The sequence below is a fragment of the Homo sapiens genome, chromosome 9 (assembly GCF_000001405.40).
Source record: "Homo sapiens chromosome 9, GRCh38.p14 Primary Assembly".
Classification (NCBI taxonomy): domain Eukaryota; kingdom Metazoa; phylum Chordata; class Mammalia; order Primates; family Hominidae; genus Homo; species Homo sapiens.
Genome location: NC_000009.12, coordinates 100,218,112 through 100,237,776, shown reverse-complemented (window position 1 = coordinate 100,237,776; position 19,665 = coordinate 100,218,112). Strand labels below are relative to the sequence as shown.

Here is a 19,665-nt window from a genome sequence, read left to right as displayed (position 1 = left end):
AGCTCCCAGTGAGACCAATGCAGAAGGTGAGTGATTTCTGCATTTCCAACTGAGGTGCCCAGTTCATCTCATTGGGACTGGTTAGACAGTGGGTGCAGCCCACAGACGGTGAGCAGAAGCAGGGTAGGGCATCGCCTCACCTGGGAAACACAAAGGATCAGGGAACTCCCTCCCCTAGTCAAGGGAAGCCGTGATGCACAGTGCCGGCAGGGACGGTATCTGGCCCAGATACTACACTTTTTTCACGGTTTTTAGAACCTTCAGACTAGGAGATTCCCTAGGGTGCCTACAGCACCAGGGCCCTAGGTTTCAAGCGCAAAACTGGGTGGCCGTTTGGGCAGACACTGAGCTAGCTTCAGGAGTTCTTTTTTGTACCCCAGTGGCACCTGGAACCCCAGGGAAACAAAACCGTTCACTCCACTGGAAAGGGGGCTGAAGCCAGGGAGCCAAGTGGTTTTGCTCAGTGGGTCCCACCTCCCTGGAGCCCAGAAAGCTAAGATCCACTAGCTTGAAATTCTCGCTGCCAGCACAGCAGTCTGAAGTCAACCTGGGATGCCTGAGCGTGGTGGGGGGAGGGGTGTCACCATTACTGAGGCTTGAGTAGGCGGTTTTCCCCTCACAGTGTAAACAAAGCCTCCAAGAAGTTTGAACTGAGCGGAGCCCACCACAGCGCAGCAAAGCCGCTATAGCCAGACTGCCTTTCTAGATTCTTCCTCTCTGGGCAGGGCATCTCTGAAAGAAAGGCAGCAGTTCCTGTCAGGGGCTTATAGATAAAACTCCCATCTCCCTAGGACAGAGCACCTGGGGAAGGAGTGGCTGTGGGCACAGCTTCAGCAGACTTAAATGTTCCTGCCTGCCAGCTCTGAAGAAAGCAGCAGATCTCCCAACAGAGTGCTTGAGCTCTGCTAAGGGAAAGACTGCCTCCCCAAGTGGGTCCCTGACTCCTGTGCCTCCTCACTGGGAGACACCTCCCAGCAGGGGTCGGCAGACACCTCATACAGGAGAGCCCCAGCTGGAATCTAGCAGTTGCCCATCTGGGACAAAGCATCCAGAGGAAAGAACAGGCAGCAATCTTTACTGTTCCGTAGCCTCTGCTGGTGATACCCACGCAAACAGGGTCTGAAGTGGACTTCCAGCAAACTCCAGCAGGCCCCTAGAAGAGAGGCCTGACTATTAGAAGGAAAACTAACAAACAGAAAGCAATAATATCAACATCAACAAAAAGGACACCCACACAAAAATCCCATCCAAAGGTCATCAGCATCAAAGATCAAAGGTAGATAAATCCATGAAGATGAGGGAAAACCTGTGCAAAAATGCTGAAAATTCCAAAAACCAGAATGCCTCTTCTCCTCCAAAAGATCACAAGTCCTTGCCAGCAAGGGAACAAAAATGGACAGAGAATGAGTTTGATGAATTGACAGAAGAAGACTTCAGAAGGTGGGTAATAAAATCCTCCAAGCTAAAGGAGCATGTTATAACCCAATGCAAGGAAGCTAAGAACCTTGATAAAAGATTACAGGAACTGCTAACTAGAATAACCAGTTTATAGAAGAACATAAATGACCTGATGGAGCTAAAAAACACAGCACGAGAACTTCGTGAAGCATACACAAGTATCAACAGCCGGATCGATCAAGTGGAGGAAAGGATATCAGAGACTGAAGATCAACTTAATGAAATAAAGCATGAAGACAAGGTTAGAGAAAAAATAATGAAAAGGAATGAACAAAGCCTCCAAGAAATATGGGACTATTTCCCAAACCTATGCTGGTGTACCTGAAAGTGATGAGGAGAATGGAACCAAGTTGGAAAACACACTTCAGGATATTATCCAGGAGAACTTCCCTAATCTAGCAAGACAGGCCAATATTCAAATTCAGGAAATACAGAGAACACCATTAAGATGCTCCTCAAGAAGAGCAACCCCAAGACACATAATCATCAGATTCACCAAGGTTCAAATGAAGAAAAAAATGTTAAGGGGCGCCAGACAGAAAGATCAGGTTACCCTTAAAGGGAAACCCATCAGACTTAACAGCAGATCTCTCTGCAGAAACCCTACAAGCCAGAAGAGAGTGGGGGCCAATATTCAACATTCTTAAAGAAAAGAATTTTCAACTCAGAATTTCATATCCAGCCAAACTAAGCTTCATAAGTGAAGGAGAAATAAAATCCTTTACAGATAAGCAAATGCTGAGGGATTTTTGTCACCACCAGGCCTGCCTTACAAGAGTTCCTGTAGGAACCACTAAATATGGGAAGGAAAAACTGGTACCAGCCACTGCAAAGAGATACCAATATATAAAGACCAACCATACTATGAAGAAACTATCAACTAGCGTACAAAATAACCAGCTAGCATCATGATAACAGGATCAAATTCACACATAACAATATTAACCATAAATGTAAATGGGCTAAATGCCTCAATTAAAAGACAAAGGCTGGCAAATTGGATAAAGAGTCAAGACCCACCAGCGTGCTGAATTCAAGAGACCCATCTCATGTGCAAAGACACACACAGGCTCAAAATAAACGGATGGAGGAAGATTTACCAAGCAAATGGAAAGAAAAAAAAAAAGCAGGGGTTGCAATCCTAGTCTCTGATAAAACAGACTTTAAACCAACAAAGATCAAAAAAGACAAAGAAGGGAATTCCTTAAAGGTAAAAGGATCAATATAACAAGAAGAGCGAACTATCCTAAATATATATGCACCCAATACAGGAGCACCCAGATTCATAAAGCAAGTTCTTTGAGACCTACAAAGAGACTTACACTCCCACACAATAATAGTGGGATACTTTAACACCCCACTGTCAATATTAGATGGATCAACACAACAGAAAATTAAGAAGGATATTCAGGACTTGAACTCAGCTATGGATCAAGTGGACCTAATAAACATCTACAGAACTCTCCACCCCAAATCAACAGAATATATATTCTTCTCAGTACCACATAGAACTTACTCTAAAATTGACCACGTAATTGGAAGTAAAACCTCCTCAGCAAATGTAAAAGAATGGAAATCATAACAGACAGTCTCTTAGACCACAGTGCAATCAAATTAGAACTCAGGATTAAGAAACTCACTCAAAACCGCACAACTACATGGAAACTGAACAACCTGCTCCTGAATGACTACTGAGCAAATAATGAAATAAAAGCAGAAATAAATAAGTTCTTTGAAACCAATGAGAACAAAGACACAACGTACCAGAATCTGCGGGACACAGCTAAAGCAGTGGTTAGAGGGAAATTTACAGCACTAAATGCCCACAGGACAAAGTAGGAAAGATCTAAAATTGACACCCTAACATCACAATTAAAACAAGTAGAGAATCAAGAGCAAACAAATTAAAAACCTAACAGAAGACAAGAGATAACTAAGATCAGAGCAGTACTGAAGGAGACAGAAACATGAGAAATCCTTCAAAAAAATCAGTGAATCCAGGAGCTGGTTTTTTGAAAAGACTAACAAAATAGACCACTAGCCAGACTAATAAAGAAGAAAACAGAGAATTAAATAGACACAATAAAAAATGATATAGGGGATATCACCACTGACCCCACAGAAATACAAACTACCATCAGAGAATACTATAAACACTTCCATGCAAATAAACTGGAAAATCTACAAGAAATGGATAAATTCCTGGACACATACACCCTCCCAGGACTAAACCAGGAAGAAGTCAAATCCCTGAATAGACCAATAACAAGTTCTGAAATTGAGGCAGTAATTAATAGCCTACCAACCAATAAAAGTCCAGGACCAGATGGATTCACAGCCAAATTCTACCAGAGGTACAAAGAGGAGCTGGTACCATTCCTTCTGAAACTATTCCAAACAATAGAAAAAGAGGGAATCCTCCCTAACTCATTTTATGAGGCCAGCATCATCCTGACACCAAAACCTAGCAGAGACACAAGAAAAATAGAAAATTGCAGGCCAATATCCCTGATGAACATCAATGCGAAAATCCTCAATAAAATACTGGTAAACCGAAACCAGTAGCACATCAAAAAGCTTATCCACCATGATCAAGTCAGCTTCATCCCTGGGATGCAAGGCTGATTCAACATATGCAAATCAATAAATGTAATCCATCACATAAACAGAACCAATGACAAAAACCACATGATTATCTCAATAGATGCAGAAAAGGCCTTTGATAACATTCAACACCGCTTCATGCTAAAACCACTCAATAAATTAGGTATTGATGGAACATATCTAAAAATAATAAGAGCTATTTATGGCAAACCCACAGCCAATATCATAATGAATTGGCAAAACTGGAAGCATTCCCTTTTAAAACTGGCACAAGACAAGGATACCCTCTCTCACCACTCCTATTCAACATAGTATTGGAAGTCTGGCCAGGGCAATCAGGTAAGAGAAAGAAATAAAAGGTATTCAAACAGGAAGAGAGGAAGTCAAATTGTCTCTGTTTGCAGATGACATGATTGTGTATTTAGATAACCCCATCGTCTCAGCCCAGAAACTCCTTAAGCTGATAAGCAGCTTCAGCAAAGTCTCAGGATACAAAATCAATGTGCAAAACTCCCAAGCATTCCTATACACCAAAAACAGAAAAACAAAGAGCAAATCATGAGTGAACTCCCATTCACAATTGCTACAAAGAGAAATAAAATACCTAGGAATACAACTTACAAGGGATGTGAAGGACTTCTTCACATTGTAGTTCCCTGAAGGAGAACTATAAACCACTGTTCAAGGACATAAGAGAGGACACAAACAAATGGAAAAACATTCCACACTCATGGACAGGGAGAATCAATATCATGAAAATGGCCATACTGCCCAAAGTAATATATAAATTCAATGCTATTTCCATCAAGCTACCATTGACTTTCTTCACATAATTAGAAAAAAACTACTTTAAATTTCCTATGGAACAAAAAAAGAGCCTGTATAGCCAAGACAATCCTAAGCAAAAAGAAGAAAGCTGGAGGTATCAAGCTACCTGACTTCAAACTATAATACAAGGCTACAGTAAACAAAACAGCATGGTACTTGTACCAAAACAGATATATAGACCAATGGAACAGAACAGAGGCCTCAGAAATAATGTCACACATCTACAATCATCTGATCTATGACAAAGCTGACAAAAACAAGCAATGGGGAAAGGATTCCCTATTTCCTAAATGTTGTTTGGAAAACTGGCTGGCCATATGCAGAAAGCTGAAACTGGACCCCTTCCTTACACCTTATACAAAAAATTAACTCAAGATGGATTAAAGACTTAAACGTAAGACCTAAAATCATAAAAATGCTAGAAGAAAACCTAGGCGATACCATTCAGGACATAGGCATGGGCAAAGACTTCATGACTAAAACACCAAAAGCAATGGCAACAAAAGCCAAAATGGACAAATGGGATCTAATGAAACTAAAGAGCTTTGGCACAGCAAAAGAAACTATCATCAGCGTGAACAGGCAACCTACAGAATGGGAGAAAATATTTTGCAATCTATCCATCTGACAAAGGGCTAATATCCAGAATCTACAAGGAACTTAAACAAATTTAAAAGAAAAAAAAAACTCATTAAAAAGTGGGCAAAGGATACGAACAGACACTTCTCAAAAGAAGACATTTATGTGGCCAAAAAACATATGAAAAAAAGCTCATCATCACTGGTCATTAGAGAAATGAAAATCAAAACCACAATGAGATACCACCATCTCATGCCAGTTAGAATGGTGATCATTAAAAAGTCAGGAAACAACAGATGCTGGAGAAGATGTGGAGAAATAGGAATGCTTTTACACTGTTGGTGGAGTGTAAATTAGTACAACCATTGTGGAAGACAGTGCGGTGACTCCTCAAGGATCTAGAACCAGAAATACCATTTGACCCAGGAATCCTCTTACTGGGTATATATCCAGAGGATTATAAATCATTCTACTATAAAGACACATGCACACATATGTTTATTGCAGTATTATTTACAATAGCAAAGTCATGGAACCAACCCAAATGCCCATCAATGATAGACTGGATAAAGAAAATGTGGCACATATACACCATGGAATACTATGCAGCCATAAAAAAGAATGAGTTCATGTTCTTTGCAGGGAGATGGTTGAAGCTGGAAACCATCATTCTCCGAAAATTAACACAAGAACAGAAAACCAAACACCACATGTTCTCATAAGTGGGAGTTGAACAATGAGAACACATGGACACAGGGAGGGGAACATCACACAGTGGGGCCTGTTGGGGGGTGGGGGGCAAGGGGAGGGATAGCATTAGGAGAAATACCTAATGTAGATGACAGGTTGATGGGTGCAGCAAACCACCATGGCACATGTATACCTATGTAACAAACCTGAACGTTTTGCACCTGTATCCCAGAACTTACAGTATAATAATAAAAAAAATCTAAGAACTATATTTCAGGATGTAAAATAATAACTTTAGAAGGAAAATTTGAGATACAAAAAAAATGCAGAGCTAAGCATTGCATATACAAAATAATACTTTTAGTATCAGAGGTTGTAAAAAACGATTAAAAAATAATACTTTAAAGTCTAATTTGTGTGTTAAAAACAAATATGACTAACTATTGGACTATCATAGCATGTAAATTAGAAGCTGGGACAGAGGGATTAGAAAACCTCAAAGAATCTACTGATAAATATTCGAAACAAATAAGGAGTTTAGCGAATTAGTTAGATATGTAATCAATGATCAAAAATATCAACTGCATTCCTATACACCTATAACAACCAGTTAAATATATATCCTAGATATGTTCAAAAATGTCAATGCAGCACTGTTTGTAAATAACAAAAAACTGGAAACAAAGTATCTGTCAATAACAGAATGAATACTGTGTGGCTTATTCGTAAGATGGAATCCTATATAGCAGTAAGAATTAATATATCATGGCTACATGCAGCAACATAGATAAAATCACCAGTGGTCGGACACGTTGGCTCACGCCTGTAATCCCAGCACTTTGGGAGGCTGAGGCAGGTAGATCACGAGGTCAAGAGGTCGAGACCATCCTTGCCAACATGGTGAAACCCGGTCTCTACTAAAAATACGGAAATTAGCCAGGCACGGTGGCGCACGCCTGCAGTCCCAGCTACCCGGGACGCTGAGGCAGGAGAATTGCTTAAACCTGGGAGGTGGAGGCTGCAGTAAGCCGAGATCATGCCACTGTACTACAGCCTGGGTGACAGAGCAAGACTCTGTCTCAAAATAAAATAAAATAAAATAAACAGCATAAGGTTGAGCGAGAAAGAATAGGGCACTGCAAAAAAACAAAACAAAACAAAAACAAAAACATGCAATATAATTCCTTGTATATCAAATTCAAAACCTTTAAATACTGAGCAATATATTGTTTAAGGATACAAATAAATGTGGTAATGGAAATCAGGGGAATGATAACACAAGATTGAAGACAGTTGTTGCCTCTGTGAAAGGAGAGAATAGAATGAGACTGAGAGGTACTCCACTCAGAGGACTTCAAAGGTAATGGTAATATACTTTTTCTTAAACTTGATATTGAGTATATGAGTATTTGTTGTTTCATTATTATTTATACTTTACATGTATTTTACTGATACTTATATCTATTCACTGTTTAATAAAAACAAGTATGAAACAAAGTAAGGAAATAAATATAAATTCAGGATTCAGGGAAGTAGTTGCTGGGGTACAGGAATGAGCACGGCGTAGGGGGAATGAATGCGTTTAAAAACTGGGACATAGGAAACCTCTATGTGGTCTTAAATAGTGGTACTGAAATGTTCTACTTCTTGGGGGATGAGTCCATATGTCTGTTGTATTCTTTTGCTTAATAATTTGCTTGTACGTCAAATATACACTTTTGTATATATTAAATAATTCATAATAAAAAAATTTCAAGGCCATTCAGGTCTAGCAGTACCATTCAACTCACCAGAATGCATCTCACTGTGTGAACAGCACTTGGATCTTTATGGTTGGCTGCCCAGTGAAGTGGGATCTTGCCTTCAACATCAGGAATCCCAATGTTAGAATCATGCTTGATGAGCAGCTTCACATGCTCAGGGTTATTGTAGTAGGCACTCCAATGCAGAGCTGTTTGCTGCAAAATCGAGAGGTTCTCGAAATAACAACAGTAACAACTAACTTTCCCCAATCTTTTATTGTGGGACAGGCACTGTTATAAGAGTTTTATACAGTAGTTGCCCTGTATCTTTGTTTTCACTTTTCATGATTTCAGGTCTCTGTGTTCAACCGAAGTCTAAATATATTAAATAGAACATTCCAGAAATAAACAATTCATAAGTTTTAAATTGTGTGCCATTCTAAATAACATGTTGAAATAGTGCTTCATCCCACCCCATCCTACCTGGGACACAAATCCTTCCTTTGTTCAGCATATCCCCACCGTAGACATTCCCTGCCAGTTAGTCACCTAGCAGCCAACTCAGTTATCCCATTCATTGTCACAATATTAGATTCACAGTGCTTGTGTTCAAGTCATCCTTCTTTTACTTAATGGCCCCAAAGCTCAAAATTATTGATACTGGTGATTCAGATATGCCAAAGAGCAGCTATGAAGTGTTTCCTTTAAGTGAAAAGGTGAAAGCTCTCAACTTAATAAGAAAAAATTGTTTGTTGAGTTTGCTAAGCTCTACCGTAAGAACAAATCTATCTGTGAAACTGTAAAGAAGGAAGAAGAAACTCATGCTGGTTTTGCTGTTGCATACCAAACTGCAAAAATTATGGCCATAGTGCCTGATAAGTGCTTAGTTAAGACGGAAAAAGTACTAAATTTGTGGGTAGAAGATATGAACAGAAATGTGTTCCTATTGACGGGAATTGGGTTTGACACTATCCGCAGTTTCAAGTGTCCATTGGAGGTGTTGGAATATATTTCCTTTGAACAAGGGAGACTATTGTCTATTTAATTGCATGCAGTCATCTTACTATCTCTGGGAGACAAGTATGTTTTTAAATTTGCATGTGATTGATGAGGAAACAGCACACGGAACCTAAGTAATCTGCTCTGGGACACAAAGGAAGTAAGTGGCTGAACTGAGATTTTAACCCAGGCAGTCTGACTCCAGAATCTGACCTCTTAGGCATGACAGTTATTTAGTTCATCCGGTACTGATAACACTGAGAAAGAGAAAGCGGCCCAGTCATTTATAAATAATCATCAACAAAGTAAGTGATGATCTTGATAATGCACATCTGGTTATCACCAAGGACCTTAAGAACTTGACAGGATGTTTCGAATTTTAATATCTATAAAAAAATACATGCATAGGAAATTCATGCATCTGGAACCCATTCCATGTATCAGTAGACAAATTTTAATTTAAATATAATTTTAGAGGATAAATTATTAGACCCAGTTATTGATGAAAAGATACATTTTGAAAATACAGCAGCACTTGCTTTAGTCAACCTAAATAACAGAGTCTCTCTAAAAGAAAATAATGTTTGGCTGGGCGCAGTGGCTCATGCCTGTAATCCCGGCACTTTGGGAGATCGAGGCGGGTGGATCACTTGAGGTCAGGAGTTCGAGACCAGCCTGGTCAACATGGTGAAACCCCGTCTCTACTAAAAATACAAAAATTAGTTGGGCCTGGTGGCGCATGCCTGTAATCCCAGCTACTTGGGAGGCTGAAGCATGAGAATCGCTTGAACCTGGGAGGTGGAGGTTTCAGTGAGCCAAGATCACACCACTGCACGCCAGCCTGGGTGATAGAGTGAGACTCTGTCTCAAAAAAAAAAAAAAAAAGAAAGAAAGAAAATAATGTTTATTTGGTATCTGGTAGTAGGGCATTGCTAAACTATGTGTACTCAAGTAAAGGAAGACAAAAGTTTTTAAAAGAAAAATGAGCAGGATTACGTAATTGTTTTCAAATGATGATCCTTGGCTACAAAGATCGATAACAAAGATAATGCCAGTGCAAGGTTGGACAGGCAGTTGCTGGGCAAATGTCTTTGAAGAAGTAATTTTTGTGTAAGGTTATGATGGCCTTTGTGCAAGGCTGTGGTTTTTGCACAGTCTGTGATTTTTTTTTTTTTTAATCAGGCTTACAAGCACAAGAATCCTCTCTTCATGGCCTTCCCTGGCTCTGTCAGGTTTTGTTGTTGTTGTTTTAAACAGAAACAACTCCATTTTGATTTTGACAATGTTCACACTTTATTTCAGATAAAAGTTGAAAATGATCATCTTGAACTTGTTGAAGTTGCTTTAAAATCTCTTCTGCTGTTCTCGTCAACATAATTCTATAAGACTGGCTTCCCTATTAGGATAATTATTAAGAAAAAATGTAAGAACTGTTTAAATATATATTAGCCCTCGTGAGTAGCATTGTCAGCAATCCAATCTACAATTAGATAATTTAATGAGCAGGAACCAAGCTCATCTGTCACATTAAAAACTTTAGAAACTGACATACATGGTATTCCTTCAAGGTGTACCTATAGGCATTTAATATGAACACTCACTATTTAACTTACTACTTTTGCTTACTAACAACTGCAGATTTTTAAAAAGCCACAAGTATAATAGCACTTACTAATTACCTATAACCACATCTTCAATAAACAACACGTAATTCCTTTCTTTTCCTATGTTATACTTGTTCTGATTCTATTTACTGAAATGTAATACTATGCTGAACCTAACAGTAATCCTATTAACCTTTTTCCATACATACAAAAATTGAGGCACAGAGGAGTTAAGCAATTTGCTCAAGGACACAGAACAAGTTAAGTAGTGGATTCTGGGTTGAAACCCAGGAAGGCTGATACCAAAGCGTAGGCCACTAAACCACTAAGCATTTAGGACATTGCCATGGGCATTTGGCCATCATGAGTCTAACCACCTATAGTAACTATTATGACTCCCTGTCAAATATTGGGTTTTGGAGTTAAGACAGGACTGATTTTTTTTTTTTTTTTTTTTTTTTTGAGACAGTCTCACTCTGTCACCCAGGCTGGAGTTCAGTGGCACTATCTGGGCTCACTGAAACCTCTGCCTCCCAGTTTCAAGCGATTCTCATGCCTCAGCTTCCCGAGTAGCTGGGATTACAAGCGCATGCCAACATGCCCGGCTAATTTTTGTAGTTTTAGTAGAGATGAGGTTTCACTATGTTGGCCAGGCCAGTCTTGAACCCCTGAACTCAGCTGATCCACTTGCCTCGGCCTCCCAAAGTGCTGGGATTACAGGCATGAGCCAATGCGCCCGGCCGACAGGACTAGATTTGAATTCTAGTTCTGCCACTTGCATCTTGGGCAAACTTTTAATCTTCCTGAGCTTCAGTTTTTCCATCTGTAAAAAGATGATACTACCTAACACACATGGTTGCTGAGAGGATAAAATGACAGAATTTAAGTGAAATACTTCCCTGAGATGTATGGAGATTTGGAATTGTTCTACCATGTATATATGTGGTAATTCAGGCCTTCTTCCTTGAAATTTCACATCATAAAAGGAAGCATTTGCTTTCTGGTCTTATTAGTCTTTGATTTTGAGTATCCATTACCTTGTTTTTATCCTGTGTATCCACTTCTCCTGGTGCCATAAACTTCAGCAGAAGTGCCAAACACTTAGGGCTCCTGTGCCGGGTGGTCAAGTGCAAAGGAGTCATCTCTTCCAGATCCTTTTGCATCCAGTTTGCTCTGCGTGTAAGTAAGAGTTTCATGAAACGATAATTTCCCTAAATAAAAAACAAGAGATGATAAGAAAAAAATGTACTATGGGGTCAAAATTTTTTTTAATTTTAAAATGTTTTAAGTATGTTAATTATTCTCCTAGAGTAATAACATCCAGAGAAATTAATAAGGAAAAATGCTTGTAATTCCACTATACTATCAATTGTTTTATTTTTTCATGTTTCCTTCCAAGAACTTTCTACATGAATATAATTTACATAGTGGCTGGCCAATATTTTATTGCAAATAAAACAACATGTTTTATTTAACCAGTCTATTATTGTTAGATATCTAGAATGTTTCTAATATTTTTTTTGTAGTAAATGCTTCACTGTACATCTTTTTTCACATTTTTTTTCTTAATTTTTTCACAAGAATAAATTATCAGGAACCAAATTGTTGGGTCAAAGACGTTTGCACATTTTACAGTGTTTGGTGTATTTTCCAAATTGCTATCTAACAGCAGCAATGTGTAGGTGTATTAGTTTCAGCACATTTTGACCAACATAGTACCTATTATTTATACTCAAAGTGTAATAATGCGAAATAAGCAGAGATGTTAAATCCCAATTTACAGGTGAGGAAACTGAGATTCAAAGTAGTTAAACGTTTTGTTCAGGACCTCTGGTTAATAAGGTATGGATGATTAGTTTTCTTAAAGAAAGCTATTTATGGGTACAACTAAGGTAGAGGCAGCTTATTCAAAGTTTGGATCCCAGGGCCGGGCGTGGTGGCTCACATCTGCAACCCCAGCACTTTGGGAGGCCGAGGCGGGTGGATCACGAGGTCAGGAGATTGAGACCATCCTGGCCAGCACGGTGAAACCCCATCTCTACGAAAAATTAGCCGGGCGTGGTGGTGGGCGCCTGTAGTCCCATTTACTCGGGAGGCTGAGGCAGCAGAATGGCGTGAACCTGGGAGGCGGAGCTTGCAGTGAGCCGAGATCGTGCCACTGCACTCCAGGCTGGGCGACAGAGTGAGACTCCGTCTCAAAAAAAAAAAAACAAAAAAACCAAGTTTGGATCCCAGACTCAAACGGTCACCTAAATGCCAACTCAGAAGTCATGGTAGGCCCACCCACTTGCAGGCAGTACTCTCCAAGTCAGTTAAATCCTCCAGTCTGGTAGAATCAACCCACCTCAAGAAAGAAGCAGGCCGGGTGCGGTGGCTCATGCCTGTAATCCCAGCACTTTGGGAGGCTGAGGTGGGGGGATCACGAGGTCAGGAGTTCTAGACCAGCCTGGCCAACATGGTGAAACCCCGTCTCTACTAAAAATACAAAAATTAGCCAGGCGTGGTGGCAGGCGCCTGTAATCCCAGTTACTCGGGAGGCTGAGGCAGAGACTTGCTTGAACCCGGGAGGCAGAGGTTGCAGTGAGCAGAGATCGCACCACTGCACTCTAACCTGGGTGACAGAGCCGGACTCCATTTCAAAAAAAAAAAGAGAAAGAAGCTTAGTTACAAGGGCCACAGCAAGAGTGTTAATGAGCCAGGCCAACCATTACATAGTAAGTCTGTGTAACATGGCAGCTTTGAACAAAATAAGACTCTAAAAATTGTTCTTCTGGGCTCTTTTCTCAGATCTATTTCCTCATTTTTACTTCCAGTTGGAGGTTTCTATGTGCTTGGTACCTCAGATATTTCAAGGTCAGTGTGACCAAACAGTATTGCCTGATCAGGTTCTCAGCCTACTTCGTGCCTATTTATCTCTCCCTATTCAGAGGATAATGGCAGGCAGGATTATTTGTCCATTTGTCATCCTTAACCTTGTTAGAAGTGGGCCCTTTTAGCATGATAATGCATTGATGTTCTCCTATGAGGGACTATCAATATTAGTAAGGAATACATTTTTTAATCAAGCAGACCACCTACTGTGAAGAATGTGCAGCTCTACAGCAAGCTTGTCCACACCGCGGCACCTGGCTTGCACGTGGCCCAGGATGGCTTTGAATGTGGCCCAACAAAATTCTTAAACTTTCTTAAAACATTATGAGATTTTTTTGCGTGTTTTTTTTTGTTTTGTTTTTTTTGCTCATCAGTTATTGTTAGTGCTATTTTATGTATGGCCGAAGACAATTCTTCTTCTTCCAGTGTGGCCCAGGGAAGCCAAAAGATTGGACATCCCTGCTGTAAGGCAAGGTTACTAGAGTGACAGTGAGGTGCAGAAGGACGAATGAGAACTAACTGCTTGCCCACAGGGGCAGAGATAGGATTGACTCAGTCCACCACAGGGGCAGAGATAAGAGAAGATAAGAAAGACCATGGCTAGGAAAGAGGATCTGTAGACTGTCTATATTAGATGGGAAGACTTGGAATAGGTGGAAAAGCCAACGGACTCTGCTGGATATTTCCTCTCAGAGAGGTTTCCCTTGATGACCCTAAATAGAACTTACTTGTTATTCTTTATTCTAGTACCTATTCATTTCTCTCATAGTACTTTTCTCAGTTTGCAATTACATATATATTTGTTTGTTTCTCTTCAGTGTGAGCTCCCTCACAAACTGTAAGCTCCATGAAAGCAGAGACCATGTTTTATTGATCCCTGTGCTCAGCATAGTTCCTGGCACAGAATAGGTGCCTAATAAATATTACTTGAAGAAATGAGTAAATAAGAAGAAATGAAATATCTTCTAGAGGTTTTTGTTTTCATTTAAAAATTCTTATTTACAAGCCTGGGAGTGGTGGCTCATGCCTGTAATTCTAGCACTTTGGGTGGCCGAGATGGGCAGATCACTTGAGGTCAGGAGTTCGAGACCAGGCTGGCCAATATAGTGAAACTTTGTGTCTACTAAAAATACAAAAAAAATCAGCCGGGCATGGTGGTGCAAGCTGTGGTTCCAGCTACTCGGGAGGGTGAGGCATGAAAATCCTTGAACCCAGGAAGCGGAGGCTCCAGTAAGCTGAGATTGCACCACTGCACTCCAGCCTGGGTGACACAGTGAGACTCTGTCTCAAAAAAAAAAATTAAAAATAAATAAATAAATAAATGATAAAAATTCTTATTTACAGTTGCTATATTAGATCATAACAGTTAAGAATCTTAATTCTCAAATACCTGGTATTTGGTTATTCTTACTTTTTAATGTTTCATTTTTCTGAGCTTCATTAATAGTGTACATCATTTATCTGGACTTGTCATTTCATTTGATGTCAGTTCTTGAGAAGGAAGATGCTAAAATTTCCTCAAGAGGGCACCCTGCTCTAAATTTCTTGCCATCTTTTCTTTGGGGAAAAAAAAAAAAAAAAAGTTTGCCCAGGAAAAACAAATCTGTGTGACACTTCATACCGAAAAATAAAGTTTGACCTTTCTGAACATAACACTTCAAATATTACAGAGTAATTCATCATGACCTTTAAAGATATTCAATCAGACAGTCATTTCGATTGGAAATTAGAGGAAAAGGGAAGGAGAAGAAGGAAACTAGTATATGTTGGTGGGGGTAACTACTGAGCTATAGACACAGTGCTTGGCATATTTACACTTTACATTATTCTGAGGACTCTACCCTCACAAGACACAGTGCAACTCAGTAATGATATTTACTCATTCATTCATTCAACAAATATTCATTGAGCCTTGTTATGAAGCAGATAACAGTACAATGCTCGTACTTTGTTTTACGTATTACAAAGCTCTTTGACATAATTTCATCTTTGTTTCTCACAGAAGTATCATCAAACATTTTCACAGATTAAATAAATTATCCTCCTGTGCCTCTATTTTCTCATATATAAAACAGGGGTAATAATGGTACCTGAAGTTATTATGCATATGAAATGAGACAAATGATATTTGTAAAAGTTCTTAGAACAGTGAACAAAGCAAATGCTCAGTAGATGTTTTTATTATTATAAATAGTTTTCCAGTGTGTAGTATTCAACAAAACATAGATGGTCAGATAGAACCAAGAATGGCCCAAGATAAAGGGCATGCAGACAGAAAGATCTGATTGTAATATACACAGTTCAGCTAGTGATTAAGAACCAAGATTAGGAAAAGGTAAAAGTAAAAATAGTTAGAATGTTATAAATAGAGTAGTCCCCCTTTATCTCCTGGGGATACATTCCAAGATCCCCAGTGAATATCTGAAACTGCAGATAGCACCAAACCCTCTATATATACTATTTTTTTCATATACACACATATCTATGGTAAAGTTTAATTTATAAATTAGGCACAGTAAAAGATTAACAATAACTAATAATAAAATAGAACAATTATAATAATATAGTGTATGAAAAGTTATGTGAATGTGGTCTCTCTCTCTCAAAATACCTTAGTATTTTTAGATCATGGTTGACCACAGTAAATGAAATCACAGAAAGCAAAACCGTGGATAATGGGGAATTACAGTAGTGGTTTGTCTGATTTTTTTTTTTCACTGAGAAAGATGTCTATATTCTGCCTACAGATAATGATGATATAGGACCAACAAAGGCATAGACAATAGGAATTTAGCAGGTACCTTGGGGAGGAGGCCAGCATCTCCTATTTCAAATGACAGAGACCCATCAGATATTATCTATGAAGGCTGGACTAGAAACAATATAATTTACTTGGACCAAGGCCAACCTGTTTGTTCTCCTAAACAAGCAACTGGCTGGGCACAGTGGCTCACACCTGTAATCCTAGCACTCTGGGAGGCCGGAGTGGGAAGATCACTTCAGCCCAGGAGGTCAAAACTGCAGTAAGCCATGATTGTGCCCCTGCACCCCGGCCTGGGTATCAGAGAAGACCCTGTCTCAAAAAAAAAAAAAAAATTGTCCTGTATGCAAATTCAATCTTTGGGAATGAGCAGAAGGGACAGAGAACTTTAAGTGCTAAAATCAGGAGAATATTTCTAGTATCAATGGAACAGAGGAAGATACTAGTTTGAGGCAGTAAGCTAATTTGACAACCCTCTGAAGGTTGTGTGACCCTTTGGACCCATGTTATAGGCTACTTTGCTTCCTGTAAAACCTTCTCATTACAGAAAGTCTAAATACTTCCTCGGTATTTCTTGAACTGAGGAGTTCTTATGTTTTTGAGAATATTCTTATAATGCAAATACTTTTTGGAGGATTTGGAAGTTAATCTATTTTTTTTTTTTTTGGGACAGAGTCTTGCTCTGTTGCCCAGCTAGAGTGCAGTAGCACAATCTCAGCTCACTGCAACCTCTGCCTTCAGGGTTCAAGCAATTCTCCTGCCCTAGCTTCCTGAATAGCTGAGATTACAGGTGCCTGCCACCAAGCCTGGTAAATCAGGTTTCACCATGTTGGCCAGGCTGGTCTCAAACTCCTGACCTCAGGTGATCCGCCTGCCTCAGCCTCCCAAAGTGCTGGGATTACAGGCGTGAGCCACTGTGCCTGGCCTGGAAGTTAATCATTTAGTATAACCTGTTAGAGCTATACAGAAACTGATCCTGTTTGGAGGACGGTTTGTTTTAGGGTCTGCTTTTATAATTTTGGAGTGGGTAGGAAATAGTATAAGAGCGAAGGAGATAATAGATCAAAAGAGGATATATACTTAAGAAAACTCTGATGGTAGGTAAGCAGAAGTAAGGGAGCTGAAGTTACAGGAAGGTCTTGATTTAGTCATTTAAAAGGACATTACTCTGCTATGATCAGGTCCATCATGCTTCTGAAATGTGAAAACATTTCCCAATATCTCTGAAACAGTGAATAAATTTTTTTTCGTTTTTCATTAGGTGGTCATAATTTTCCTCTAAATCTTCCTGTAATTAACACCAAGAGCTTCTTTCATCTGTCACATAAAGATTATGACACTTAGATTTTCTCCAAATGTATGAAAAGGGTGAAAGAGAATTAAAAGTTCTCTGACCCAGAGAACAGCACTTGAAAGGAATCTGGGAAACAAATTAGGTCAAAATGTGATTTTTAACTTTATATTTGTGTCTGTCCAGTTCTCTTAAGATGAACTCCTTTTTTTAAAAAAAAAGCACATAGCTATTTAATGGTAATAACAATGATATGGAGATTTTGAGAAAAATACTTTGATATTTTGCTTTGGATTTTTCATTTTTTAAGTAATAAAACCTAACAGATAAAGTTAATACTTCCTTTGTGTCCCCAATTCCATTACCTTCTCTCCCTCTTTGGAGACTACTATCCTGAATTGGGTGTTTATCATTCCAATGAATGTTTTTATGCTTCTATTTCATACAAACATATATATATATATATATCCATAAACGACATAGTATTGTTTTACATGTTTTCAATCTTTGTACAAATGGTCTTGCATGAATCGTGTCATTTTTTACTCAAAGCAGTATTTTTCAGATTTATTCAAGTTGCCTGGGTTCATACATTTTCACTGGAATAAGTATGCTGTCATATGAAAATAATATATTTATTCTTCTCTAGAGGGATATTTAGCATGTTTCTCATTTTTCAAGATTACCCAATATTGTAATGAATATTCTCATACATATCTCCTGGTAAGTACATAAGAATTTCTGAAACTTCTGGTTTGAGATTGCTCTCTAAAATAGCTACTCCAAGTTAACATTCATAACAGTAATGTATGAGTTCCTGTTTCTCCACATCCTCACCACACTGGGTTTTGTCTGACTTGCTAATTTTTGCCAATCTGACGGTTACAGTTTTTTGTTTTGTTTTTTAATAGAAGGGGTCTTGCTATAGCTTGCCCAGGCTGGACTCAACTCCTGGGCTCAAGTGATCCTACCACCTCAGCCTCTCAAGTAGTTGGGGCTACAGGCGTGCACCACTGTGCCTGGCCTACAGCTGTGTTTTAATGTGCATTTCCCGAATTGAGGTGGAATGTTTTTATATGTTTGCTGGATATTTGTTTCTTTTGTAAATAGCCTTCTTGTGTTGTAACTCATTTCTGAACTTGGCTATTTGTTTTTTTTTCTTACTGATCTATAGGAGTTCTTTATGTATTCTGGATACTAATTCTTGGTTGGTTTTGCAAATATCTTCTCTGTGTGGCTTATTTTTTTGCTTTATTTATGCTCTCCCACTAGGAATGAATTCGTAATCTGAATAATATTGTTTGCTTTGTTAGCATTAGATTTCTTCAAATATTTTGAAATTTCTGTCTGCAGGTTCATTTTTGTTTTTCATTTGTTTGCTTTGTTTTCCTTTTTTCTCCTTGTTGACCCATAGAGCATCTTCCACCCAGCTCCTAGTCCATTATAACAATCTGCTCCTACACAGATCTCCTGGAGCCCTGTCTTCAGTGATATTAGGGATGTCACAATTATTAACAGTGAGCTAGTGAGTAGCTTCCTGACCTGAGGCTTGGATGGTGTCCTGCTTCTGCCATTTCTCTAGATAAACAGCTTCCTATAAAGCTGTAGCCTCATAGTGAGGCAAAGAATATTCCAAAATTCTAAGAATTTTCTTGCCTTTTGCACAAATATGACCACCTTTCAATCAGTGAAAAGGAAGGAGGCATCTTCCTGAACCCTATTCTGAAATCATATTCTACAGGACTGCTGTTTGTTCCCAGTAAGTGCCTTTATGATTAACTTATAGATAATTGGCAGCTGATCCTCAAAATATTCTGGATCCTACCTCTACATTTTTTCCCCAAAATGGCTACCATATTTTCTATATCTGTCTCCCTGGGGCCTTTGCTATTTGCTTCCTCTTCAGCTGAGACGATTACTTTAACAGACTTCAATGCCCAAGACTTGACTAAAACTGCCTACGGTGGCCCTTCTCCCCACTGGAGTACTGAAGAGGCCAGATGTTTTCCCAAAACCAATACTTTGGGACCTACATGTTTTCCAATTAATTTCTTTGCATTCTTGTTCTGTGTCCCCAGTGCTTATATTTTCTGTCACTGTACTTGGAGAGAAAAACAATTGCTCACTATATATATATAAATGTTCACTATATTTTTTTGTTCATTTACAAATTGGTATAAAATTTTGGCCTAGAAAGATAACTATATTTATAATAGCACACACAAATGTAAAGTAGGT

At 39.0% G+C, this 19,665-nt stretch overlaps 1 protein-coding gene across 4 annotated transcripts in view; it reads right to left on the bottom strand.

The window, feature by feature from the left end:
• Positions 1–19,665, bottom strand: part of INVS (inversin) — a 202,933-nt gene that overhangs the window by 64,399 nt on the left and 118,869 nt on the right. For all 4 annotated transcript variants that reach the window (NR_134606.2, NM_001318381.2, NM_001318382.2 and 1 more), the window contains 2 exons: positions 11,542–11,715; positions 7,950–8,117 (listed from right to left, as the gene is read on the bottom strand). Coding sequence is in view for 2 of the 4 variants with exons in the window: in NM_014425.5 (NP_055240.2) it covers positions 7,950–8,117; positions 11,542–11,715 (342 nt within the window). In the remaining 2 variants the exon portion in view is untranslated. The remainder of the gene's footprint in view (positions 1–7,949; positions 8,118–11,541; positions 11,716–19,665) is intronic.